This window comes from Homo sapiens, chromosome 9 (assembly GCF_000001405.40).
Source record: "Homo sapiens chromosome 9, GRCh38.p14 Primary Assembly".
Lineage (NCBI taxonomy): Eukaryota > Metazoa > Chordata > Mammalia > Primates > Hominidae > Homo > Homo sapiens.
In genome coordinates this window covers 117333924-117360789 of record NC_000009.12, presented here as the reverse complement: position 1 = coordinate 117360789, position 26866 = coordinate 117333924, and the positions used below count along the sequence as shown (strand labels likewise).

The 26866-nt window shown below is 41.2% G+C and overlaps 1 protein-coding gene across 3 annotated transcripts in view, besides 1 other annotated feature; it reads left to right on the top strand.

The window, feature by feature from the left end:
- The window catches only part of ASTN2 (astrotactin 2), a 991946-nt gene that overhangs the window by 54268 nt on the left and 910812 nt on the right, over positions 1–26866 (top strand). The window lies entirely within an intron of this gene.
- Positions 5073–5574: an enhancer, noted in NCBI's record as "H3K27ac hESC enhancer chr9:120117495-120117996 (GRCh37/hg19 assembly coordinates)". NCBI's record gives its function as "activates a minimal SCP1, AML or CMV promoter by ChIP-STARR-seq in naive H9 embryonic stem cells {active_cell/tissue: H9 hESC(naive)}" and the evidence as "EXISTENCE:reporter gene assay evidence [ECO:0000049][PMID:30033119]".

Below are 26866 nucleotides of genomic sequence, written 5' to 3'. Positions count from 1 at the left end.
ATGGAGAGACTGGGGGTAGAGAGGGGAAGGTCCTTGTCCATAGTCACACAGAGTGCCACTAGTAAAGCCAGGCCTTGAAATCAGGTTGGCTGCTCAGTTCCAGTGACCCTCAGAACATAGCATGCTCACCATGGAGTCATGAACTTGGAAAGAAACCTCATCAATTCTGGTTATCTGCACAGCTCATACGATATGTTATTAGGATGGCTGTTTGTTCAATACTCTCTCCATTAGACCAGCAGCTCCACGAGGGTGGGAATTATCCCCTGCTCATCTCCATATCCCCAGCGCACTTGCTCTTTTCTTGCTTTGGTATAGTTTCCACTTTTTTGCCTGGATCTCTTCTGTTTGTCCTTAAATTCTCACACCATATAACATTTAAAATGAGAGGCCCTCTCTGACTACCAGCTCGGTTAGACACCTGCTGTTGTATACTCCCATATTCCCTGGACTCTTTCTTGATTTCCACATTACACTTCACCCTCATTACCTATTTAATTGCCTGTATTACCCACTAAACCATAAGCTCTTTGATAGCAGGGATTGTGACATTCTTGTTTTCCTCTTATTTTTCCAGTAAGTTTGCCGAGCACAGAGCCAAACATATTCAGCAAATGTTTGACAGTTACATGGAAGAATGAAACCAAGACAGTCCTAACCTCAGAGTGTAATCCAAGAATCTCTATGTGCCGGACAGCTGCACACACACACTAGGGGTCAGAGTCAATAAGATCTTCATTGGCTTCTACTACTTTATATTTAGCAACCAGTCAAAGCCAACGGGCTTGCATCTACTTTCTCTTATTCTTGGGTTTATTCCTTCTGAGAAAAGCCGATGTTCACCGCCATCTGACTTCTTAACTCCTGCCTCTATATGTTTTCTTCATCCACTTATTATTGCTTGATCTAGTCATCATTTCTCTCTTTCCCTACTTTCAGGGAAACAGAGGCTCAGAAAAGTACAGTTACTGATGCAGGCTCACACCACAGCTGAGTGGCCATGTCACAGTTGAATCTGCAATCCCTGACTCCACTCCTTCCCCCTGTCTCTGATAGTTAAAGACCTCAATTCCTGTGTTCTTTCCTCAATGTATAGACGACATTAGAATGACATCTACACTGTGCTGGCTACTGATCAGAAGACTCCCCATAACCAGACAGGCACCCACAGATTTCAAGAACCATATGGTTCAACAAAGTTAAGGCACAAAGGACAATTCTTTGCATCTTATTTTGATGGTACTTTCCCTACTGCTGGGACCTACATGCGTACATAGAAGATGCTTAACAATATCTTTTAATTCATAGTAGAATGACTAAAGCCTTATCTCAGCATGCAACAGATACATCGTGAAGACAGCTTTTGCCTTTCTTGAGCCAAAAATGGAAAATATCAAGTTTATTTGTTACTTTACTTGCCACATCAGTTGTTCCTATTGGAGGGATAACCATAATTATTCCTTGCATTTACATTGTGTCATGTCTACAATCTTTTTTTATTGTTGTTCCTGTTAATCCTCAAAACAACCATTAAGGTTTAAGCACTTTCCATTTTACAGATGGGGACTCTGAGGTTCTCAGTTTGAAGCAGCTTGCTCAAGAGCACGGGTTTAGGAAGGTACAGAACAGGAAAGAGGACTGGAATGGAATTGTCCAGAATACAAGTTTGATCCTTTTCACATTAGACACTGTTTTATGTTGAATCTATGCATTGTTTTGCACAGAGAAAAGGGCTCTGAGGGACCTGAGAGTCCATCCAGGTTTACTCTTAGAGGAATTATATTTAGATCAAATTTAAACCTTGCTTAACCTCCCACCATTCACCGATGTTGGAGATCAACGTTTCAGGAAGAAGCTAGTGAGAGGTGAGTTTGGTTGGGTAGGCCTTTGCAGAAAGGTGGGATATATGAAGGGAAGTTCTCAAGGATGAATAGAACTTCAAGCAGCAGGGATGGGGAGAGGAACGACAGAATGAGAGAAGCAGAGGTAAGGGATCTGTTTGAGGGGTTTGGAGGGAGGCTGTTGAACAGTTGGATGCAACTGGAGGAGATTGCATTTCTCCAGCAGCCCATGAACTTTCTTCGTTTCTCTGCTCTTGGGACTACTAGAGAGCAGATGCTGAGAAAGTCACTTTCAGGCACTGCCTGTTGTAAATTACATGATAATTTCCGCACTCCATCTAGGTGCCACAAGAGGCTGGTGGTCGACAAGTCTGTGATTAGAAATGGTGCCCAGGGTGATGTAAAGACAATTGCCCCCAGTTTAATGCTGGCCCCTTTCGCATTCAAATGATTGGGAAGGAAATGGGATTTCTCATTGTGCTATCAGGCCCAAAATCAGAGTTTGCAACCTTAGGACTAAGGTATTTGTAATGTTACACTCATTCAGGGGATGGAGCCACACCCTCACCTTTTCCTGTTGCCAGAGATTGAAACTGACAATACCCCAGATTTGCTTTGTGGCCTTGGGTATGTGTGTGGATGTGGATGTGTATGTGTGTGTGTGTGTGTGTGTGTGTGTGTGTGTGTCTGCACATGTATGCATATGTATTACCTAACCTGTCTGACCTTTACTTTCTCTCCCTCTGCAAATTCTTAGGAATGATGCTTCCTGTAGGGAAACTAATAGGCATATCCTGGATTTTGAGGAAACTAGAAGGCTTCTTAAACGCTAAGTATGATCGATCCTCATTATATCACTGACTTTACCATATCGGGGTCTGGGATAGGACCATCTGTGATTTCCCACGTGTTCAGTATTAAAAGAAACTTCAACTTTACATATACAAATAACTTGACTTTTTCAGGTAGTGAAAACTAAGACCAAAAAAGAGAAGTGACTTGCCCACGTCACAAAAATTTATGATTTAGCTGTTTCTACAATCTTTGCCTTCTTATCACCATTCAGGTACTCTGTTCATCCCTCCAAAGGGTTAGGTACCCAGACTTCCAAGAGGACCTTATTGCAAGTAAATCCTCACAGCAATTACAGGAGAAGTAACGTTTGTAAATTTTCATTCTTTAAAAAAGCAAAATTAAAGACTCTAGTCAAAATAGGCAGGATTTAAGTTAGGCATGATATAACATTCTTAACTCAAGACTAGACATTAATTCCAATCTCCTGTGGTTCCAAGGATCCATAATAAACTCTTGAGATAGAGAAAATGATAACACTAAAGGTGACTTTAATTCCACCTTCTCTGCTTGGCCTGGCTAAGGGAGAAATGCTCACCTGCATCCAGGAGTATTTCCAATTCTCTTGGTAACACTCTGAACCTGCTGTGCCCATGGAAACTCCATTCAAATGTTCATCAGAACATAGCTGAAAACACTCTTCCTCAACTCTGTGAATCCTCATTAGTTCATTTGTGCTCCACACTCAGTGGCCACGGTGATAATCTCAAAGTCATAATGCAGGTTCACTGTGTGACTTTTGCAAGCCTAGGCACCTTTACCTTTGTGGATCCTTCCTTAATAAAAACATTACGAAATTATTATGATTAATTTAAAATATTGTAAAATTGTGTCAAAGATGTTTATATTCATATTTATATTAAAAATTCTTTTGACTTAAAAATACATTTTTAAATTTGCATGTAGTTTTAAGAAAAATTAAAACATTTCTGTTGGCTCCTGAAAGGACTATGAGCCCTGGACACTGTACCTGATGGGTAAGTCAGCCTTGGTAGCACATGCTTCATATTCAATTCTTTTTTTGTTTTATTTTGAGATGGAGTATTGCTGTGTCACCTAGGCTGGAGTGCAGTGGCATGATGTCGGCTCACTGCAACCTCCGCTTCCCGGGTTCAAGTGATTCTCTTGCCTCCACCTCCCAAGTAGCTGGCATTACAGGCATGCGCCCACCAGACCCGGCTAATTTTTGTATTTTTAGTAGAGACAGGGTTTCACCATGTTGGCCAGGCTGGTCTTGAGCTCCTGACCTCAAGTGATTCACCCACCTCAGCCTCCCAAATGCTGAGATTACAGGCGTGAGCCACTGCACTTGGCCCATACTCAATTCTTTATCTTTCCTGAGATGGTATGAAGAGAGATTGTTTTCCAGTATTTTTTTTACCTTCCTTCATTTGTTCTCTAAATTCCCCTTTCCTAACCATTTTTGACATACTCTAATTTTCTTTTTTATATTTTAAGCACCCGTATTTTACATGGAAGCGCATTAAAATTGAAGATCAGATTGAACAGAAAAGATATCACTGTTTTACTGTAGAGCCAGTGCTGGCATACTTCTTGAGAGAGGGTAAAGAAGCTATGTTCCTGCACTGCTCTTGCTCCTCAGTTCTCAAAGTGAAATCTAAAGAATTTGGTCTGATTTTAATTGATGGCCATGCCACTTGCAGTAAATGATTTCATTTCTCAGATTCTCACTTAATTTCATCGTATCAAACATGGGATAATAATCTCACCACATATGTCATGGCCCATGTGGCATATCTACCAGCACACAGTAGGTGTCCAAGAAGAATCGAGATGCATATTTATCTCCCTGGAAAAGTCTAACCCCCTGCATATTTTAAGATTTTGACTTTATGATGAAGACTTTTGCTTTGGATTATAATTACAAGAAAGTTGTTAATAGAGAATCAGACATACTTGGCATTCTCATCTTGGCTCTACTACTTATACCTTGTATCTTTGAGTGAGACATTTCCTTTCTACTAACTTGGGATTTGTGCATAGACAAAATGGGGATGACGGCAATGAATTCAGTAGGGTTTGGGGGAGGATCTAGTGATAGCATAAGTTAAATGTTTGTAAGCACCGGCACACTCTGCAATTGTAAGGAATATTTCCATTTCCCTCTGTCCCCTGATCTCCAGTGTAGGCTGCTCCCCTTCTCTGGGTTCTCTGGGGGAAACATTTTTCATTAGCAAGTGCTTGGAATGGACAAGCATGCCATTGACCACTTTACTGCAGCCTGAAGCTGAGCTGCTCCCATGTCCCCCAGCATGGCCCCCAGCTGCAAGCCGGCCTCTGCCTCCAGCTTTCCAATTCCAGATGCTCAGAGGTAGCCAGAGGGTGTTTGATTGCCGACAGACTCTGGCATCACAGCACAATCCAATCAACTCTCTTTCAGCAGATGAATCCTCCTCAGATTGTAATCAGAGTCCATTCTGTCTCTCCCCATCCGGCTCTGGTACCCAGGAATCTTGAGGACTTGTTTTGCTTTTCTGTCCTGGCAGCCCCTCAGCCTCCACTCCCACCTTCTGCCTTTGCCTGGGAGCTAAGCAGCCTGGTGTCTGGTTGTCCACTAGCTCAGTACATTACATGTGGCGAGCCATGTCCTCTCTCTGCACTCCATTGCCCTTTTCTAGAAGTGGGTTTGTATTATCCAGCACACAGCGTTACTGAAAGAGTAAGGTAGGAGGGCATGCTTGAAAATACTAGGTAAATGAAAATAAATGTTGTTATCACACACATAGTATTATTTTTGTCCTCACTTGCAGCAGCCTCTTCAGTCTGAAACTCTGAATATGGGTTTGAATCATTTTTACCATAAAGGAGTTGAATATTTCATTTGTGCCAAGATTTCTGAACTTTCCATTCACTTGTTTGTTCAACAAATACTGAATTTGCTGACTATTCACTATCTGTCAGGGACTCTCTTAGATCTTGGATATAAATGAAATACAGTCATTTCACAAATAATTATTAAGCACCCACCCTGACCCCTGGAGTAAAGGGAAATTTGTTCATTTTAATAAGGTGTTCATATTAAAGAAATATACACTGGGTAAGGACTCATGGATTAAAAAAAACAGGACAAGGAGCTTAAAATATAGTGGAGAAGACAAATATTGAACAAATACTTTTATAAATAGTATAGATGTGTTTAGGGCAAATGCCTTGAAGGAAGAATCGTTGAGTATTTTGATAACTTATAACTAGGGCATTTATTTTAGTCTGGGGATTCAGGGAAGTCTTTCCTAAAAGTTGAGGTTTGAGCTGTAGGATGCATTTGAGCTCACTGTGGAGTAGGTTCTAGTACGGGGAAGAGATGTTGGGAAGACTATGGCAGTGGGGAGTTCTGTGTGTTCTAGGATCAGGCAAGGCCTGTGTTGCTGGAGGGAGGGAAGGAGGAGGGATGGAGTCTTAAGAGATTGCCTGGAGCCAGATCATATAAGGTCTGGTGGGAAGGAGTAAGACCTACCTGAAGCAACACAGAGACTGTTAGAAAAGACAGATCAGTAACAAAACAATGATATGAGCTGTGATACTTACTCAGTGCATGGGTGCACACAAGAGGGAGTAGTTAACTCAGTTTTCATGGCTCAAGAAAGTATTCAAAAAGGGGGATTTGGGTTTTGAAAGCTCTAGAGGCAGTTCTGGTAGAAAGGTGAGCAGCATTCAATTCAGAGTGACTAGCATATGCAAAGCCCCTGCAGTGAGAAACAGCTTGATGAGTGTAGGGAGCTGGCATATGGCATGCACAGGGAGAGGGGGCAATGAGAAAAGAGACAGGAGGAGAGGCAGAGGCCAGATGATGAGGGGCCTCATCTGCCATGGAATAATGAGTTTTAATGGTGTTTTCTTTGTAAACAGTTTCATTTTTGGGGGTAGTTTTAGGCTTATAGAAAGATTAAGCAGGAAGTACAGAGAGTTCCTTATACTCCCGAGTACCTTCCGCCCTTCCCCACCACACATAGCCTGTCCCAGTATCAATACATCTTCCCACCAGAGTAGTACTTTTGTTACAATTAACAAACCTGCATAGACACATCATTGTCACCCAAAGTCCATAGTTTATATTGGGGTTCACTTTTGGTGTTGTGTGGTCAAATGTATAAAAATGTGTATTCACCACTGTTATTCATACAGAATGGTTCCGCTGCCCTAAAAATCCTCTGTGCTCTGCCTATTCATCCTTCCCTTCATGCTAACCCACTGCTATCGCTGGTCTTTTTGCTGTCTTCATGGTTTTCTTTTTTCCAGAATGTCACATAGTTGGATGCATAGAGTGTGTGGCCTTTTCAGATTGGCTTCTTTCACTTAGTAATATGCATTTAAGGGTCGTATTTAGTGGGGTTTTCAGAAAGCAGATGGCGCGATTAGGGCAATGTTACTCCATGTAATGGATGGATTGGAGGTAAAGGTGAACTAAAATCAAGGAAAACAGGTTGGAGGTTGTGCTGGTAATTGTTGGAACATTGGGGCCACATTTTTCAATGCTGAAGTCTTAACTTGAAAGACTGATCTTTTTAGCACCAAGGTGTCATCATTTTGCTATAAGGCCTCCTTTGGAACCTATGCTTCAACTCTTCAGTTTAACCTGTGCTACCCAACATGTGGCTATTATTTACATTTAAAATAATTAAAATTAAATAAAATTAAAATATTAGTTGCCCAGCACACAGTAGCCAGATTTCAAGTGCTCAGTAGCCCTGTGTGGCTAGTGTTGACCATATTGGACAGTACAGATGTAACACATTTCCATTGTTGCAGAAAGTTCTATTGGACAGCACCGCACTAAATCTTAGAGAATCTTTTTATGGTTTGCTAGAAAGACTCTGGATTTTGGAGCCAGAGTGAGGTCTCAAATTGCTGTTGAAACATTTATTAGTGCTGTGATTTTTTTTTTACTGTGGTAAAATATATGTAACATACAATTTGCCATTTTAACCATTTTTAAGTGTACAATTTAGCAGCATTAATTACATTCATAGTGTGGTGCAACCATCAACACCATGTATTTCCAACACTTTTTCATGACCCCAAATAAAAACTCTCTGCAATCATTAAGCAATAACTCCCCATTCCATGCACCTCCCAACCCTGATAACTTCTCATCTATTTTCGGTCCTTATGAATTTATCCATTCAAGATGTTTCATGTAAGTGAAGTCACTTACTCCATCTTTTTGTATCTGGCTTCTATCACTTAGCCTAGTGTCTTAAAGCTTCATCCATGATGAGGCATATGTCAAAGCTTCATTCTTTTTTATGGCTAAATGGTATTCCATTGTATGTGTATATTACATTTTATTTATCCATTCATCTGTTGATGGACACTTGGGTTGTCTTTACCTTTTGGCCGAGCGATGAAATTTTGAACAATTTGCTTAGTTTCTCTGAGTTTCTTTTCAATAAAATGGATATCTTAATCCTTAAATTCTAGAATTATTGGATAAACTAGAAGAAACACTAAAGATAAAGTGCTTGGGATGGCTTTCCCAGTTCAGTAGTTGGTAATTCTCCTACCACTCTTTGTCCACTTCTGTCTACTATCCCTTGGTGCCTCAATCCCTGTGCATTGGAAGCTCAACAACTGTTGGCCAATTGTGGATTCTTTCTGGTCTCATTAGCTCAGCTCTGATTCTTGGACTGTAAAATGTGAGGAGAATATTTTGTTTGACCTCTGTGTGTTTAATGTGTAGGAGGTTCCAGGTTGGTGGAGATAATATCTCTCAAGTGTCACAAGTTTTGGGATGCAGATGGTGGCCCATGTTCCTCATTAAACTAATAATTGCTCTCAGGGAAAGTACAGCGGAAATCAGTACTTGACATTTTAAAGGTAGATGAAGTCATAAGAAGATTATGACTTGGCCTTGAATAGCGTTTCTTGGGCCAGATTAGAAATTCTCATGAGAGAGTAATTGTTTTCTGGGGTCTGACCTGTGTTCTCCTCAGCCCAGGGCTGAAGACACAGCCTGTGAGATTCAAGGGACTGTTTCTCTCTGATAAAGGTATATTGAGAAGTCCAGGTTTTCCTCCTCAAAATGGACTCAAATGTTGGGAAATCTTCACAGTTGATTCAATTAAAAAGATATTAATAGTAAGCGGTGTTTACTTAGGACATTTTTATCTGTATCCCAGGGGCTTAGACGATGAGGACATTTAATAAACTCACGTGACTAAAAGCTTTGGTGATAGGTGACTTTGCAGCTCCAGATGTCAGTGTGCAGGACTAGAATCTCTCTGGTTGTCTTGGCCTTCTCTTTGGGGCTCCAAGATGGCTATAGCACCCCCCATCCAAATTAATGAACTAATATAGCATCTAAAGCACACATGAAGAAAAGGGGCAGAAAACAGAGCTTTCCCTGTGAACTTTTTCCTTTATTACAACAAAACCTTTCCAGAAGTGCCTCCAAAGATTCCACCTCATAACTCATTAACCAAAAGGTTATGATTGGCCACCTATATATGCAGAGAAGCCTTTTCATTTTGTATAGAGAGAAATTTGAAAATTGTAGAGACTTGAAGGGAGAAACAGTTTTTATTGTTTGTGTAGTCAGGCAAGGTTTCCTGGGGGCAGTGATATATGCATGAAGTATTGAATGGTAGTGTAGGATTTTGACTCAAGTAAAGGCAGCTTAGGCCGAGAAAACAGCTTAGCATAAGCATGAGATTTGGGAATTCAGATTTTTTTTGTTTTGTTTCAGTTTTTAAAAGATGTGGTATTGGAATACTTGTGGTAAAATGCAATAAGAAAGGAAGAAGTGAAATACAAAAAGTTTCTCGAAAGTTATAATAGACCTTGAGCGCCATGCTTAGACGTTTGAATTTTGCTCTGGAGACACTGGGTAGGTATTAAGGTTTTTGAGCTGGGATTGCCGTATTCTCTTTTCCTTAATCCTACCAATTCTTTATAGCTTAGATTTGCCATCATGGATGTATCTTAAGTTTTTTGTTACTTCATTTCTCAGTTGCTCCCAGTTGCCCATATCTTTTCCTAAATGCTCTGTCATGCGCTTCTGTTAAAGAGAGTAGCAGTGTAGACGTTGAGGGTGCAAGGAGAGCAAGCAGGCTTCCACCTTCAGTCTCTCAAGTAAAAACATATAAAGCAATCCCCTTTTCACCTATCCACCATGCAACATGGCGGTCGTGCCAAAGCAGGGTCCCCTAGGATGGCTTAATTGTGATTTAACGTGCTGTTATCTCCACTTTGTGACTTGAGTACTGAACATAACTTGCTGCATGTCTTTCCCAGCTCACCGAACTTCTAGACATTTTGTTCATATATGACAAGCTTTCTCTGCTCTAAATGCTTTGCTAACTTGCTAACATTCTTAGCCTAACGTAGAAGATTCTTTACAGTATTGTCTTCATTTCCCAGCCTCATTCCCCACTGCCCAGCGTGCTCTGCCATCATATCAAATACACAAAGTGCTCTGAGCACATTTTCTCTCATTCTGGACCTATGTTTCCCTCTGACTACACTGTCTCTGATTTTTCTTTTCTTTTCTTTTTTCTTTTCTTTTCTTTCTTTCCTTTTTTTTTTTAAGATGGAGTCTCGTTCTGTTGCCCAGGCTGAAGCGTAGTAGCACAATCTCAGCTCACTGCAACCACCACCCCCCTATCAGCTTCAAGCAATTTTCCTGCCTCAGCCTCCCAAGTAGCTGGGATTACAGGTGCCCACGACCACGCTTGGCTAATTTTTTGTATTTTTAATAGAGACGGGGTTTTACCATATTGGCCAGGCTGGTCTCAAACTCCTGACCTCAAGAAATCCACCCACCTCGGCCTCCCAAAGTGCTGAGATTACAGGCCTGAGCCACTGTGCCAGCCTTGTTTTTTATTTCTCTATTCTCCAAACCTTTCTTGCAGGAGTAATTAATCTCTCAGAACCCTTCTGTAGTACTATATCTTTTTTCTTAGACTTTTAATTTTGGAAATGTTTTAGATTTATAGAAAATTGGCACAGATTATACAGAGACTTTCTATATACCACTTACCCAGCTTCCCCTAATGTTACCATCTTACATTATCATGGTACATGTGTCAAAACTAAGAAATCAACATTTGTATGTTGCTGTTAACTATACTATAGACTTTATTCAGATTTTACTCGGTTTCCACCAATGTCCTTTTTTTTGTCCCAGTGTTCAATCTGTGTTGCATTTAATCCTTATGTCTACTTGCTTTCCTCTGTTATGTGACAGTCTCTCAGGTTTTCCTTTAAAAATTATCTTAACAGTTATGAAAAGCACTGGCCAGAGGTGAAGTCCCTTTGTTATCATATTGTATCATATCATATCAGGGAGTCTCTGATATCATCCTGACTTATTGCTGATGTTAGTCTTCATCATTTATTTGGGGCAGTGTCCATTGGGTTTTTCCACTGCAAGACAATTATTTTTCCCTTTACTTACTTTATTCATTAGAAGTGAGTCATTAAGTCCAGTCTACACTGAAGGAGAGGGCAATTAAGCTCCACTTCCTGGAGGAAGGAATAACCATCTTATTTTTAGAGCTGCCTGGTCTCTTAAGGACTAGTGAACGATTCTTTTTCAGTATTTTTTCTGAACCTTTGTGTTCCTCTCTCCACAGCATGAATAAGTTCACTTGTCTCTTTCCCCCACCCCCATTAACAGTAGATTCCTGAAGGCAGGGGGCCATGTCTAATTTCTCCATCTCTGCTGAATTTAGTCCAAGATAGATTCTCAACAAGTTCGAAGCAAACTTAACTTTTCTTAGATAGGGAGGCAAGCCATGCACACTGGCCCTCATTTTTTTCTCATTTAATAAGGGAACAAACTGGAATCAATGACTTCTAAGGCCAGGCAGAGACGATCATGTTCCTTACCCTGCTATGACCTTGGTGATCTCTCCTTGGGAGGGACTAGAGTGGAGAGGACTGAGCCTTCACCCGCCCCGGCAGCTTCCTGTCTGCTGTGCGTGTGCATGAGCATACCGTTTGGATTTGAGGACAGAAGATAAAATCCTTTTTGACCCAGGTCCGTGATGATCAATGGGCCTCCCGGCATGCTTCACCGCCCTTGCCTAGCTCTCTCTATGGCACCAGTTGCCACTCAATAAATCCATAAAAAGACAACTCAATTGTTTTGACTTTCCTCCACCTTTTCCAGCAATTCTTCTTTTCCAAGTTAATGGGGCAGAGGGAGGGGAGTCACACAATTAGATGCTACACACACTTTTTTTTTTTTTTTTTTGGACAGAGACAAATTCCTCTATGTGCTGACAGGATCATAAAAAATGAATTAGGAGATCTGTTATTAATGAAATACTCCAACCTAATGTTATAGCAATGAAGCCCTTGGCTTTATACAAAGTGTTTGGCACTTATAAAATACAAGTTGAGATGTCTTTCTTTGCCTCCCTTTTGCTCACAGTAAAAAGGAGCTGAAAGAATCTTAGCCCAGATTTGCAGAGCTCTGGTCAAGAATAAGGCTGTAGACAAATGACTACCCACACCCAAACAAACACATATACACATGTTAAGGATACAGAACACAAATCAGCATATCAAGTAAATAGGCTCCGAGCAACTTTACAGTAAATAGATCCATTTCTCTTTGCTTATCTCAACATTTCCTAAATTTCTTTAACGATAGAACACCCTCTTTCCTGTTCATGCCATGTAGATATAGGGTGTCATGGGACACATTTTCAGAGACATGCTTGTATCTGACACTGCCTAACATCTCTTGGATTATGTCTATGCAGACTAAGAATGGCAAATTGAAATGAGTATCGGTAGAGTTAAAAGAGAAATAGAGTTAATCCCCAATATTTTGTTTATGTTCTCAGTTGTTTGGCATCCTGAGTCAGAGTGGTCAATTTTAGACTGAACTACCTGGAAAATTGCCTTGAATATCCACTTCATTTTGCCTTTGACCAAATTGCTTAATCTTCCCCACCTTGGGAGACGGGTTGACCTGAAGTGCCAGGCCTAGGCTGAACAGGCCTCCCCAGTTACCTACCTTCATGCTTATAAATGGATTATGCTTCTCTCTGATTTTAAGCTTGGTGTAATGTTGGTTGCAAATATTAAAAATAATGAGAATGTAAGTTAAGTGTAATCTTCTTATCTGGTAATAGACCCTGATTAGAATTTCTTTTCATTTCCTTTAGTTTCCAACTAAGCAGCATGCACAGGGTTTTGAAATCTAAATTAATATGCCATGTTAGTCTTCAGAAAGCTGGACATATAACACTTAGGTCCCTAGGCCTTCACTGCCCTTTAGCACATGTGCCCTTGTCATCCAGTGCTGGGGACTTTGCACAAGGAGAGATGTGAGGTCAGATGTGTCTTTTTGTTCCTCTTTAGCAATTCACACCTTCCCAGCCCTTGAGAATCCGCTGCTTTCTTTGTGTGGTTGTAGCCACCACATTCTCATTTTTAATTTATTACCTATTTCTGATTTTCAGAAAAAACATTTGCTTTATATTTATATTTCTACATAAAGAACAGATAATTGGGTGTGGTTACAAGAGAGAATTGCACTAGACAAAGCAGAAGGCCTTACTAGCTAGCTGTGTGATTCAGGGCAAACTCTTAATCTCTCTGAACCATGATTTTCCTCATTATAAAATGAGGTTAATGATAAGACCTACATACAGGCTTGTTGTGAGAACGTGAGGAGACTTAGCCGTATCTAGCATGCAGTGTCTAGCATATTGTATGCACAGTGAAGAGCTGGGGCAACCTCCCAGGTGGTGGTGAGAGCAAATGAGAGACTAAATCAGGAAGCGCTCTCTCATTGTTGACAGCCATCTATGTGTGCGCTATCAGTATAATGTATCTATGAAGGAATTTCTAAAGTGTCTCACTCCAAAAGCCCACCTCTCCACAAAGTCCATTAGTCATTGTAGAGAGTGCTTCTCAACCGCCAACCTCTTCATGATTTTGGAGAAACACTGCATGTGCCTTTTCTTCTTGACCTCACTCCCATTATATTTTCCACAGTTTTCACTCCAAAGCCCCCTACTTGGATGTCGGCCAGTGCCAGATATACCAGGTCATCCCACCTCAGATAACACACACCGCAGAAGCAGCAGGATGCCCTTTAGCCTTGTAGGTAGACTAGTAAGTCTTGACTAATTTAATGATAATTAACAAAAAAGAATGTGTGTATTGAGCCCAAATGCTGTGTCAAGCATTAATCTTATTTCTTTATGTGTATTCCAGTTTAATCTTCATAACAACCTTAAACCATAGGTATTAGGGCCCCCATTTTGCAGACAGTGGAAATTAAGTTCAGAGAAATGAATATATTGAGGTTAGCAGTGATAGGATTTGAACCCATGTCTGTATGATTTTAATACCCATGTATCATATGTATCACCTTGAGGGAATAGAGGTGGCCCTGAACAGGTTCACTCTCACTACTGGCAGGAGAACATCTAAGATATCTATGTTACCACTTCACATATGATGGTACAGTTATTTTTCCCCATATTTAATTGCTTATTTCTGCTAAACGATGTGTCAGGAAACCCAGATTCTGTCCTTGATTTGGTATCAATTTTCATGTCTGTAAAATGAAAGAATTGGGCAACTCTTACTGCACTAAGATAATAGGATTGTAGCAAATAAGCACAGGTGAGTGTGTTAGGAGTTTGGTTAGTTGGTTGGACAAATGCTATCTAAATGCATGGTCAAGTTCAGAATTCAGTAGAGTATATGGATCTGAATTCTGTAGGATAATACAGATCTGAATTCTGTACATTCTACTGGATCCTGAACCTGACCAAGCATTTACACAACATTTGTCCAAGAAACTTAGCACAGAAGTTAGTAAACTCTACGTTGGTTATACTGTTTCCTAGTGTTCTATGCCTTACCTTGATTTGAGATATGCAAATCCTTTTAAAAAAGTAACTAAAACCTTGATGGAATAACAGGGTGCTCTGGACAAAGAGTCAGTACAAGTGAGTCTCATCTTTACTCTTTGTAATCCCATGGGCCAGGTAGCTTTGGAAAAATTCTGTAACACCCCTGAGCCTCCACTGAGGGTTAGACAATAAAACATCTGGAAAATGCCTGGTATAATTTTTCCTTTTCCTTTTTTTTTTTTTTTTGCCTCTTAGTTCACTAAGTGGCAATGTGAGGATTAAAATATAGGCCAGAATGGGCAGAATGGGAGTTACAAGAAAACCTTAATAGTGGATAGACAGAACTAATTAATGAGAGTAAGTAGGTCTAATAAGAAAACTGCAGAATTGAGGATATTGGTGAAGAGATGGGGTGGAAGAGAAAAAGAAGTTAAAAGGTTAAAGAAAGTGGACTAGGGAAGTGTATGTATTTTCTGGTAACAATCTGTAGCATTCTCTAGTTTACATGTTACCTCCTCTGAGAAGCCCTCCCTGACTACCTTGTCCAGAGAAGCCCTTTGCCTCAGTTATTTCTCGTCATTGCATCCTGTTCATTTCCTTGATGGCACTTAACACCAGTTGTAACCTGCATTTGTTTTTGTTTAGTTTCAATTTGCTTGAATTCAGTAAGGGCCAGACAGCCTGAGTTTGAAAACCAAGCTCTGCCACCTATCAGCTGTGTGACCTTGGGCAAGATCGTCATCTCTTTGAGCCACAGTTTCCTTATCTATCATTGCAGGATTACGGTAGGGATTTTGTAAAGATTAAGTGATTTACTATGTCTGAAGCACTTAGAGTCATGCAAGGTACATTGAGAGCTCTCAGAAAGTAGCTGTGGTTATGATTCATACTTGTTTACATCTGATGCTCCTTTAGGTTGTAAATCCATCTGGTCAGGGATTTTTAACTCTTTATTTTCTACTGAAGGCCTAGGACCTAGACTGTGGCTGACACATACTAGGTACTCAATATATACTGGTTGAACATTCACAGGAGTGAATGTAAAATAATAAAACAAAGCATGAGTAGCAAGAGCAAGCCTTGCTGGCTGGAGGATTCAATTAACTACAGGCTTGGCTCCTGGCAGTCCTCTCCTGGGCTCCTTTGTGCTGCAGAAAACACAGCTCCAAGTTGGGCTCTTTTATCTCCATGGACCCTCCCACCTCTAACCCTGGCTTCCTTAGATTCCTGGGTCCTTTCATTTAGCCCCAACCTGTTCATGCCCCAGGGAGAAAAACGTTCCCCACTCTTGTACAGGCGGCATGTGTCAGTGTTGATATCAACATTCCTGAATAAATAAATGAATAAAACTAATTTATGTTTGGATGAAAAATACATCAGGGCCTTTAGGAAAAATGAGCAATGGAAGGGCAGCATTCACATTAGTATTGCACACAATGCCTCTGCCTGGGCTGCTTCCCTCCCCTGTATTCCCTCTGCCTCACCCTTTTCATTACTCTTAGGTCTAGAGTTGAAACCCGTGTTCATTCTTTCCTCTTCCCTTAGCTTTAGGCTCAAGGATGAAGAAATGAAAACAAAATAAATCATTGAGGAGTAAGGAGATGAATTGCATAAGAGAAACATGCTTCTTCTCATACAAGGAGCTGCTATGTTGTCCATGATTCTGTGTCACTCTATGGGGTGTGTGCGCATAGGTTGTGTGTGTACACAAAGACAAACACAGGCAACCCTGGGCACTGCTGTCTTCCAGAAGCCAGGTAGCTTACCAAGTGGTTTGTGGTACTGAGCGTTAATACAACACTTTTCCTTCTGGAACTCCCAGGGTCCTGGGAATGAATGAAGCAGGGGAGGGGCAGGGTCTTTGGGGACCTGGACTTATCATGGCTGAGCAAATCTTCACACTGCCTTTGCTTTCATCAGCCCTGGTGCCCGGCATCCTAGCTCTAGCTCCCAAACCTGCCTGCAGGATTCATTTCCATACGTAGAGGGCTTTGAAGTCTTATTCACTGTGCCATGGTAGAGGGTTTAATATTCTCCTGTTAATGCTGCTTTTGGGGATGGGTTTTTTTTTCTCCACGTGCTTTTGTGGAAGGCTGTGTAGTTCTGGCATCGTTTTTCAGGCATGCTGTGCTGGAGAGATCTCCTTTCCCACCTCCCCATGTCTCTCTACTGGAACTAATGATGGGGCCACCTTGGGAGATGCTTTTCCTGCTTCAGGAATTTTTGGAGTAACATCTAAGACAGAGATGCTTTGGGTGACATTTTCAGAGTATTTCCAGCTCCTTCATCCCCCCTCCTTCCTTCTTCTCTCCCTCTACTTTCTACTTTCTTCTGTCCTTGCTGCCTTCCTTGATCTCTTTCTTCTTTCTTTTATATTTTTATTTCTTTTTCAATTAATTATTCATGGAATCAGGGATTGTGCCAGGTGCAGGAGGGGCATAAAAATGCAGAAAGCTCAGCCTTTAAAACATGCACATTCTAGTAGGAAACATAAAGCTGGTATAGAACTAATTAATGTGAGGTAGAGAGATGGGATCCTGGAACTATATATGTGGGTGGAGTTAGAATGTGCTTTTCATTCCTTGCTAGCTGAGTCATCTAGGGCATGTTACTCAGTCTCTCCAACTCTCAGTATTCTCATATGTACATGGGGTTGAAAATAATAGTGTCTATCTCACAGGATGTTTGTGAGAATTCTATGACATTATTCATGGAAAGTGTTAGTTATCACAATGCCTGAGTCTTGGGGAGTGCCACACAAACGTTATCTATTGTTACTATTGTCAATGACATCACAGCAGTTCAAATGTTTTCTGTGACTCTATTCCAGGGAAAAGCAAGTTCATGCACTGTAGGAATCCGAGAAAGCTTCTTGGATGAGCTTTCAAATTGATTCTTCAGCATGAGTAAGCTATGTACAAGTGAATTTAGAGCAGAATGTAGTTTGAACAAAAGTAACTATAAAATTCTGATAAAAGGGAAGCAGAGGGAGATTTGACTTCAGACAGAAGAGGTGATGGCACATTCAGAAAGGTAGAGATTGAACAGATGCAGCCACAAGCCAAGGAAAGCTAGCAGAAGCTGGAAAAGGCAAGGAATAGTTTCTCCCCTAGAGCCTCTAGAGAAATTGCAGCCCTGCACATACTTTGATTTTGGCCAGTTAAACTGATGTTAGACTTCTGACTCTTCCTACTTTAGTTTTTCTGAAGTGAGTGTGAGATGCAGTGAGGGGGGAACTATTCCCCTTGCCTAACTTTGGAAGCCAATCAGGAAAAAGCTATCCAACCCACCAAGCTCCTGAAATTCCCATGGGACTTCTGGTCTGTGGCCTCCCAGAATGTCATTTGATGGCGACTCAATGTTGTCAAGACTCAAAGTATGCCACAGTACCCTTGGCTTCCCCAGAAGAGATGCCACTGAAGGTCATCAGGGACATGGAAATATGCAGGGTTCCTGGTCCGCATTGTTATTTGTTAACCCATTCTTATTTGTTATGGATATTCTATTTCTTCTATATAAAACCGTGTTGGAAGAAACAATTCTGTTCTGAAAACACAGTTTGAAAATGGTAATATTGCGTGTTAAGTCAGTCTCCCCTCATTTTGTAGGTGAAGAAGCCAGGACCTTGTAGGTGAGGAAACCAGGACCTAGCCAGAGGAAACAAATGACCAAATGTTCCTAGTTTATTAGTGGCAGTACCAAACGATCCCTGGGCTACTCTGAAAACCTGACCTTCTAAATTCACAAAATCACACAAAGAAGAGGATGGTTCAGAGGCAGGACTCACTTTGGGAAACTCCGATTCACTGCTGCTCATTAGCATTTCCCAAGTTCTATATGATTTCTAACAGACTTTTCACCAGCCTTGCCACATAAATTGAATTATTCGAACAAACATGTATTATTTTTGTTTCATTTTTCAGCTGATAAAACTGAGTTTCAGTGAGGCTAAGTGGCATGCCAACAGTAAAGCATCTAGAAGTGGCAGAATGGGGGATTCAAGCTCCCAACCATCTGGCATTTTAGCATGTGGGTTCTCCTGTCTCTGAACCTGATTGTCCTATTCACAGACCCAGGATGCCTTTGTTCGGGGACCTGAGTTCCGTTAACAACAGTTAATGAATAGCTGTGTGCTGCTTTGTAATACATGACATGAAATGGAGATGCTAAATATTATCTCTTCAACCATGGGGAGAGGTGATATTTGACCAGGTCCTCACCTAGGCATCCAGAAGAGAATAACCATAGCTATAGCTGCAAAGTTGGGTCCATACTTCAATTTGAGTCAAACAGCTCATATATTCTTGTTTCCCTAAATGAAGGGTGCACTCAAGCAATTGAAAACAACTTCTGGAACAATCTTCTTCCATTACCTCTAATGGAATTGAGTGTATATGGCACACAGTGTGTGCTGGTATTTTGCAGAAACAAGGCAGGATTTTCCCATTACTCTGAGGATGGATGAGATGTGAAATGAACTCCACAGAGACCTCTCACTTTGTCACAATAGAGCTAGTGAGTCTCATTAGAAGATTTGGGGGAAAAATGCATTTTTGTTTCCTGCTTTGTATCCTCCTATGCACTTTACACTTTCCTTTTCATGCTTTTCTCTCTCTGCTGATAAATCTGGTGGCAAAAGGCCCATAAAAAGACCCAGATAAAAGGATCCACTTTGCTGTTTAAGGAAATGTCACTGCTGTTTGGAATACAAAGATCCTTCTTTGAATCTGGCATTGTCTTTTGCTTGATCGTTTGCTACTTTATGATTTTTCAAAAAATTATTATTATCCCTTTCTCCTTCTTTTTGTTTTCTTAACCTCCTGCTCACAAAGAACAGGAAAGTTTCTGCCCCTAGCTTAGAGGCTGTGTCTGTCTATGTCTCTCACCATCTGTCTGTGTATCTCCATCTCTTGTGTGTAAAAATGCTTTGGCAGATCATTCCTATCTCAGTGAATAAAGTACCCATGACAGAGAGAAATGCAGCAACCAGGAAAAAAAACGATTTGATTCATGAACATTTACTTTCTCTGGGGTCCATTTCTACCTGGACTATTTCCTTCTTTCTTTCTGTCCTCACTTTTATTAAGTTGTTTTCTCTTCAGAGCATGACATGAGATTTCCTTGCTCAAGGGCTTTAAAAAACACAAAATGTGAGAACTACAATAGTTGTAAGAGATAATTCAATCCTGTATATCTCTTCACTTTGACCTTGTAATCAAGGATAACCTTGGGTCCCTAGAGGAGCCAGCACCATGCTGGCACTGCTTAAGAGCAGGGCCTCCTCCTAGAGCCTTCTCAGGGTTGTCATAGGCACAAGACCATGCAAAGGCCCCACATGGTTATTGAGTAGTGGTCCTGCCTGGCCATGTTGCTGATGGGCACACTGAAGCCTAGAGGGAGGAAGGGCATTGCACAAGGTCACACCATGAATCACTGTTGGAACTGGGACCGGGGTCCTAGCCTCCTCACCCTTACTTTGTGCCTCATCACATAGACATAAAGAAAAGGGGATATCTTGTCAAAAGAGCAACATGGTGCCTTTTATGGCACTTGACAATTTACATTAAGAGCATTTCTGCCTGTGACCTCACTGGAGCTCAGTGACAGTGATTTTATGAGAGCTGTCCAAGGTCTCACACTAAGGAAGGGGAAGAGCCAGATTCTTCTGCTCTACTGGCTCCAATAACAAGCTTCTTCTGTTTCCATTTTGCCTTCATTCCCCCCACAGGTCTTAGCGTGGTAGAGAGTAGTTATTATTGAGCCCTTGATGTATTCTTTAGAGGTGGCAGAAAAATTTAGCAGGGTGCACCGGGCATTTTTCTTCTATAACCGGTGTTCCTGCCAGGCTACATCTCTTCCCCGAAGTAGTCATACCCCTCCTCCTCTCCATGACACTTTTTTTTTTTTTTTTTTTTTTTTTTTTTTGAGACTGAGTCTCTCTCAGTCACCCAGGCTGGAGTGCGGTGGCGCAATCTTGGCTCACTACAACCTCCGCCTTCCCAGTTCAAGCCATTCTCCTGCCTCAGCCTCCCGAGTCGCTGGGATTATAGGTGCATGCCACCAACCACTCTCGGCTAATTTTTTTTGTATTTTTAGTAGAAACAGTGTTTCACCAGGTTGGCTAGGCTGGTCTTGAATGCTTCATGACACTTTCTGTTGACATGAAGAGGTGTGTGTGGGATGAGGACAGGGAGGGTCTGATGTCTCTGAGAGCTGTCATTTGTTCTCCCTGTCCAGGTAACTAAGGCCACACTCTGGGCCATGCCTTTTCCTCAACAGGCCTCAGTTCCCATCTAAATAAAACGCTATGGTATCATGTGGGCCTCTTTAAATTTTTTTTTTTTTTTTTTGTAAAAGAGACTATTTCCTGGCTTAACAGATCGGTGCATTAAAATCCATAAATATTTGATTAGCATGTGGTCCTCAGAGAGTCTCTTGCCAGAATAGCTGAGTGGTATGTGTGCTTCTCTTCCCCTTTCTCCTTCTTCCTTCACCTTCTTCCTCCCCTCACCCCAAACATTTGGGTAATCTATTTACTAATGAACTCAATATTAATGTATCCATTTTTCTCAGTTAGTGTCAGGTTTCATTAGGAAACATGAGAGGCCTGACATTAATCGTATGAAAAATGGGTCTCAGGGAAGCTGTTGGGTTCTTGCTTCTTAACAGAAAAAGTTTCTTCAGGAAAAGGCATGATGTTTCTCTCTTTTTATTCTTTGTAAACGGAGTGTTGGCAAAGGAGTTCCTTTTTTTTGGCTTTTGTAAAGACAGCTGGCCTGATGACATTGGAGGTGTGGCAGCAGCGGACTGTGTGTGTGTGCATGTGCATGTGTGTGAGATCTCAGCAGACCTTTTAAAGTGGGACAGGGTGACCTTGCCTCTTTCTGCCTCTGCGGCACACAGATCATGTGTACCCTTCAAATCTCAGCTCCAATGCGGTGTGGCATAGTGGAAAGAGCGCTCGTGGAGTTAGACACATTGAAGTTCCTACCCTGATTCTGCCACTTGATAGTTGTGTAACCTGGAACAAAGTCAATTGCCCTCTGTGAGCCTCAGTTGCCTCATGGGCTAGATGTGAAATACTAATACCAGTTGTGAGAGAAAATTGGGGGTTTGATGGTGTTGTAGTCAGGAACCACAGATGCCTAAATCCTGCTGTGCCCATTACCTCTGCTTGCCCTGAGGGAAAGCTGGGATCAAACAGCAGCTCAAGCAGCAGCCCAGGTCTACAGCTCCCCCATCATCACCCGCAGTCAGTCTACATCCTAGTGTCTACCTGTCCCCTAGATAACTGCATTAACTCATGTGGTTGATGAGAGATAGCAATCAAAGCTGGGGGACTAAAATTACGCACACAGCTGTGAGGTCTGGAGAGGTAGAAAAGAGAGTTCCCATGGACAGGTGTGCTGTTGAGTTTTGATGACCAGGCCTGAAAGTTAAGATATTAGGTTGGTGCAAAAGTTATTGCATTTTTTTGCTATTAAAGATAATGGCAAAAAAAAAGATAATGGCAAAAAAAAAAATTACTTTTGCACCAACCCAATAATCCACCCGTATTCAGTGCCTACCAAAGCCATTAAAAAGCTAAAGCTTGGTAGATTAGTGCCAGTAGGGTGGAGGGGGGAAGAAGCACCTTCCCCTATTTTGTCTTATATGATTGATCGTTTTCTTCTACGTGTTAGGGTATGTTTTAAGTATCCTCTGTTTTTCCAATTAATTGCTAAGCTCCTTAGAGAAAGGACCTTTTCTTATGTGTGCCCAGCACAAGATGGGGCATCTGAAAAAGTTTTTGGAAAGATTTGAAGATGGGAGGAGGGCTGAATGGATGGATGAACTGATAAATGGATAGGATCTGTAGGATTGAAGGTGCTTATATGCTTCAAGAAAGGAGGTTTTAGATGCAGGTCTAGGAAGAAATAGAGGCTAAGTGGGCATGCTTTATTTGGGGGATTAAAAGGTTGGGGGAGACACATCCATTGAGGTTATATTGAGCACGAGATTGGATCAGGACACTAGTTGTCCTGAATAGTAATTTGAGTAGAAAATAATAATTAACAAATAGTCAGATGCTGCATAGAAGACTAGTAGATGCATTGGAAGAAAATGGCAATCTTTCCTAATCCTTCTGTTCTCTCCATATGTCCGTGAGGATGAGAGGATGATGAGGAAGTATTAAACACTGTGAAGTTGTAGATAGATAAATGCGAGATAATCATCGATTCCTTATTTTTTATATGAATAAGGACAAAATTAGATTTTGATAATTCCATGGAATACAGATTCTTGGTAGCACTTTGTACATGGCAAAACATGATCACATCTGTTACCTCACTTAGCTGTGTGAGAGAAGGTGAGCTAATTTATTGTACCTGCTATTGGCTTGCCCGAGGTCATGAGCACCTTGGCCTCCCACCCCCATGCCTTGGATATTAGGTCAGTTGTGTTTGCTTCTGCTTCTCCCCTTGGCTATGAGCTCACTCATTGTGCCCCATATAGTGTTTTCACTTAAAACAGTGTCTACTAGTTGGTTATTTAAAGGGAAGCTCCCCACTTTTCTCTCCATGATACCTCATTACCTAATCTCATCATTAAAAGGGAATCCCAGCAGTAAAAATTCAAACATATTGAAGTTATACAAATGCACAGAATACACTTAAGAGTTATTTTGCCTCCAGAAAGTTGCTTTCTTTCTCTACTCTTCACTGTGCTTACCTGACATAGTGTTATTACTTAACGGTGCTGTTATAAGAATGAAAAGAACAATGCTTGCAACCACCCAGTCCAATGCCAGGCATAATCACATACCTGGTCTTTTGAAACATATGGTAGATAATAAAGAATTAAAAATGACCTCTCTTTTTATTTCTCCGCATTCTAACTTCTCAGAGTTTATTAGGATAGGCCTTAATGTGCAGGAATTTTGATCTCTGCAACCCAGAAATCACAGGTCATTGCCCTGTGACCAATCCAATAATTTTGTCTTTGAATATGCCATTTAACCCATGACTATTTTTTCTCCATTGGCCTCTGTAGACCCATGTATAAAATGGGAATTCCCCATTTCATAGTAATTTGTTGCACTGATGCAGAGGTACCATAGGGTATGTGTGATTTTTTAGATTTCTCACCTAAGGTGTGATTTGCATACATGTATTTTTAAAACCCCTCTTCATTAATTTGATGTTAGCATTATTTATTCTTAATTATGCATTTATTTATATTGCTCCTCTTTCCAGAAGTAATGTTAGGTGACTTATTTATTCATGCAAACTGACAGCAAACAGATACACAGCTAAGAGGAAAAACGGAGGAGCCATACCTTTGAGCATGTATCTTGTGGTGTTTTATATTTATTTTTACATTCTCCCTTTGTGTCAGAACTTTTCATAATGGCTAAAGCTTCGAGTTCTGGGAGAGTGCTGGACCTTTTGAGGACATAGACTGACATGAACCTGAAACTTTGGGGTAGAGAACAAAGGGGTGGGGCCATATGGGAAGTCTGAGGAATCATGTGGATGGTCCTTTAAACCAGAACCCATTTGACTGGAGGCTAGAGAATCAAACATTTTAGGCAAGGTCAGGAATGTGGCAGAAAACCTAGGCTAGCCAGAACCTTCATGGCAGTGAGTTGGTGAAATTTAGTATGGCGCTGGCAAAGTACTCAACGGAATGCATAGACCACGCACAGAATAAACAGGATATATTATTCTTACTTACCAGGATTTGGGGGCTGAGGTGGGCTTCCTCCTGCAGATAGGAGATGGGGATCAAGAGATCTCCCTCTTTGTCCCTGTAGGGAAGCGCTGCATCGGGTGATGATTCCTCAGGGTTCCAGGCCCCAGAAGCCCTGACTTCCCCTTTTCACCTCTTGAAGAACTTTCTTTAATTCTTCTGAGATCTCCCTAGCTGAATGTCAAGGAAACAAAGAGCAAATTAATCCCAGCATGAGGGAGGTGGAGGTTAATTTGTATAAAGGATGAGTGACATCTTACAAAGGATTATTCCCCATACAGTCTCTTGGGAGCTGTGCACCAGTGTGCTCATACATACACTCACACTCCATGCAAGCACCTCCTTCAAACTCTTACCATTCCCCAGCACCTCCTGTCTGAGGCCTTGTTTTACAGACAGACTTAGAAAAGAGCAGAATGGGAAAATTTTTGTGTATGCCTGGTGGTCCTTTTTTTTTTTTTTTTTTTCCTTTCCAGACCTCCTGTCTCCTTAAGCTGCCTACACTCACTGCCAATTTGTTCAACGAAGCTGTCGTGTGTTGTTAATATTGTCAGGATTTATGAGCATTGCTAAATGTGTGCCTGGAATAATTTCATTTCCTTTTCTCCATTTCTGTTTTTCTCCAAATAGCAGCATGAAGGGAGAGTAGTGAGATTCCAACTCTGGGTACACATAGATATGGATTTCATTCCTAAATCTACCATTGAAGTGCTGGGTGATCTTGAGCAAGTCCCTTTTTTTTTCTTCTTGCTCTGAGTTCTTTATCTATGTTATTAGATGGGGTAATTTTTAAGGGGCCTGTGGCACTAGGATTTTATGGCTTCATTGATTTAAGGGGTTCCTCATTCAGTGAAGAACAAGACTGTGAAAAAATCCATTCTCCTTTATGGGACCTTGATTTCCCCATTAACAAAATATAAGTAAGAATGAAGTTAAACTGTAGATCTAACTTACTATGGAAATTAATGAAATGACCCTCCTACAATTCAGTTGCAAGGCCAACTCTTGACAATCAGAGTCATTAGAGGCTCAGATAATTTGCATCATACATTTTCTATGTTCCAGGTAAAACTACACTGAATTGAGGAATATATGATCAGACTGTCTTCCTAACATGGAGATGTTTGTATTGTGTTAAAGCCTAGTACTTGCCAAACATAGGAGCTTATGGTGGAGAAAATAATTCAGAAAGTCATAGCAATTTGGAGATATCATTTCTTCATTTTTCTTTCAACAAACATTTATTCATGTGTACTATGTTCCAGGCAGCATTCTGGATTCTAGAAAAGCAGAAAGGTCCTTTTAGAGCTTAAAGAAAAACTGACAATAAACATGTAAATAAATATACAAGTGATGGAATTTAAGATAGCAGTTAAGGGCTATGAATAAAATAAAGCAATGGAGTGAGCCCCTGGGGGTGCAAGGTAGAAGTTGCCATTTTACTTTATTTTATTTTGTTTTATGTTTATTGAGACAGAGTCTCACTCTGTTGCCCAGGCTGGAGTGCAGTAGCATGATCTATGCTCACTGCAACCTCTGCCTACCGGGTTCAAGCTATTCTCATGCCTCAGCCTCCTAAGTAGCTGGGATTACAGGCACAGGCCACCACGCCTGGCTAATTTTTTGTATTTTTAGTAGAGATGGTGTTTCACCATGTTGGCCAGGATGATCTCAAACTTCTGACTTCAGGTGATCCACCTGCCTCGGCCTCCCAAAGTGCTAGGATTACAGGCGTGAGCCTCCATGCCTGGTCTGAAGTTGCTATTTTAAATAATCATCAGGAAAACTTCCAGGAAGTGGTAATTGGGCTAAAACTTGAAAAATGAGAAGAGTGAGCCACAGGAGGCTCTTAGGAAACGCATTCCAAGAAGAGGGAGTGAGGACTATGAAGCCACTGTGGCTGGTGTGTAAAAGGCATTTAGCAGGGAGGGCAGTTTGGCTGGAACCAGGTGGTAGAGGCAGAATGCTGGGAGATGAAGGCAAGGAGTATGCCTGGCTTTGCTTATCATTATTCTCTCCACCGTCAAAAAAAAAAAAAAAGCCCTGATATACCACTTCTCATGTAATCCTTACAGTGACCCTGAGGGTGAATGTTGTTTTCCGCATATTAAAAATAAATGTCTCAAGGTGTGGCTGATGTATCCTAGTCTCAGGGGTCAGTGAAGGTAAGCCTGCACCTGAAAGCAGAACTTCCTGATTCCACCACCCGGCACTACCACCATGGACAGTTCCTACAAAGGCACTAAAGAGTGACCACTTTGCTCATCATATGCCAGCCCTTTTATCCCTGGAAAGAAGAGTATAGGATCTGTTTGGAGAAGGAGACAGCAAATGATGACTCTCAGGCCAACTGTAGCCCCCTACTGATTTTATTGGAAAATAGCCACACCCCTTTTTTATGTGTCTCTGGCTGCCTTCCTACTATAATAACCAAGTTAATTGTGGAAAACCATATGATCTGCAAAGCCCAAAATGTTTGCCATCTGGCTCTTTACAAAGAAAAGTTTGTTGACCTCTGGTATGCAGCATGGTTTGGAAGTGAAACCAGGTTCTGCAGCCTATTCTTCATGCACCAGGCCATTAATCTGGACAAGAGGAGTG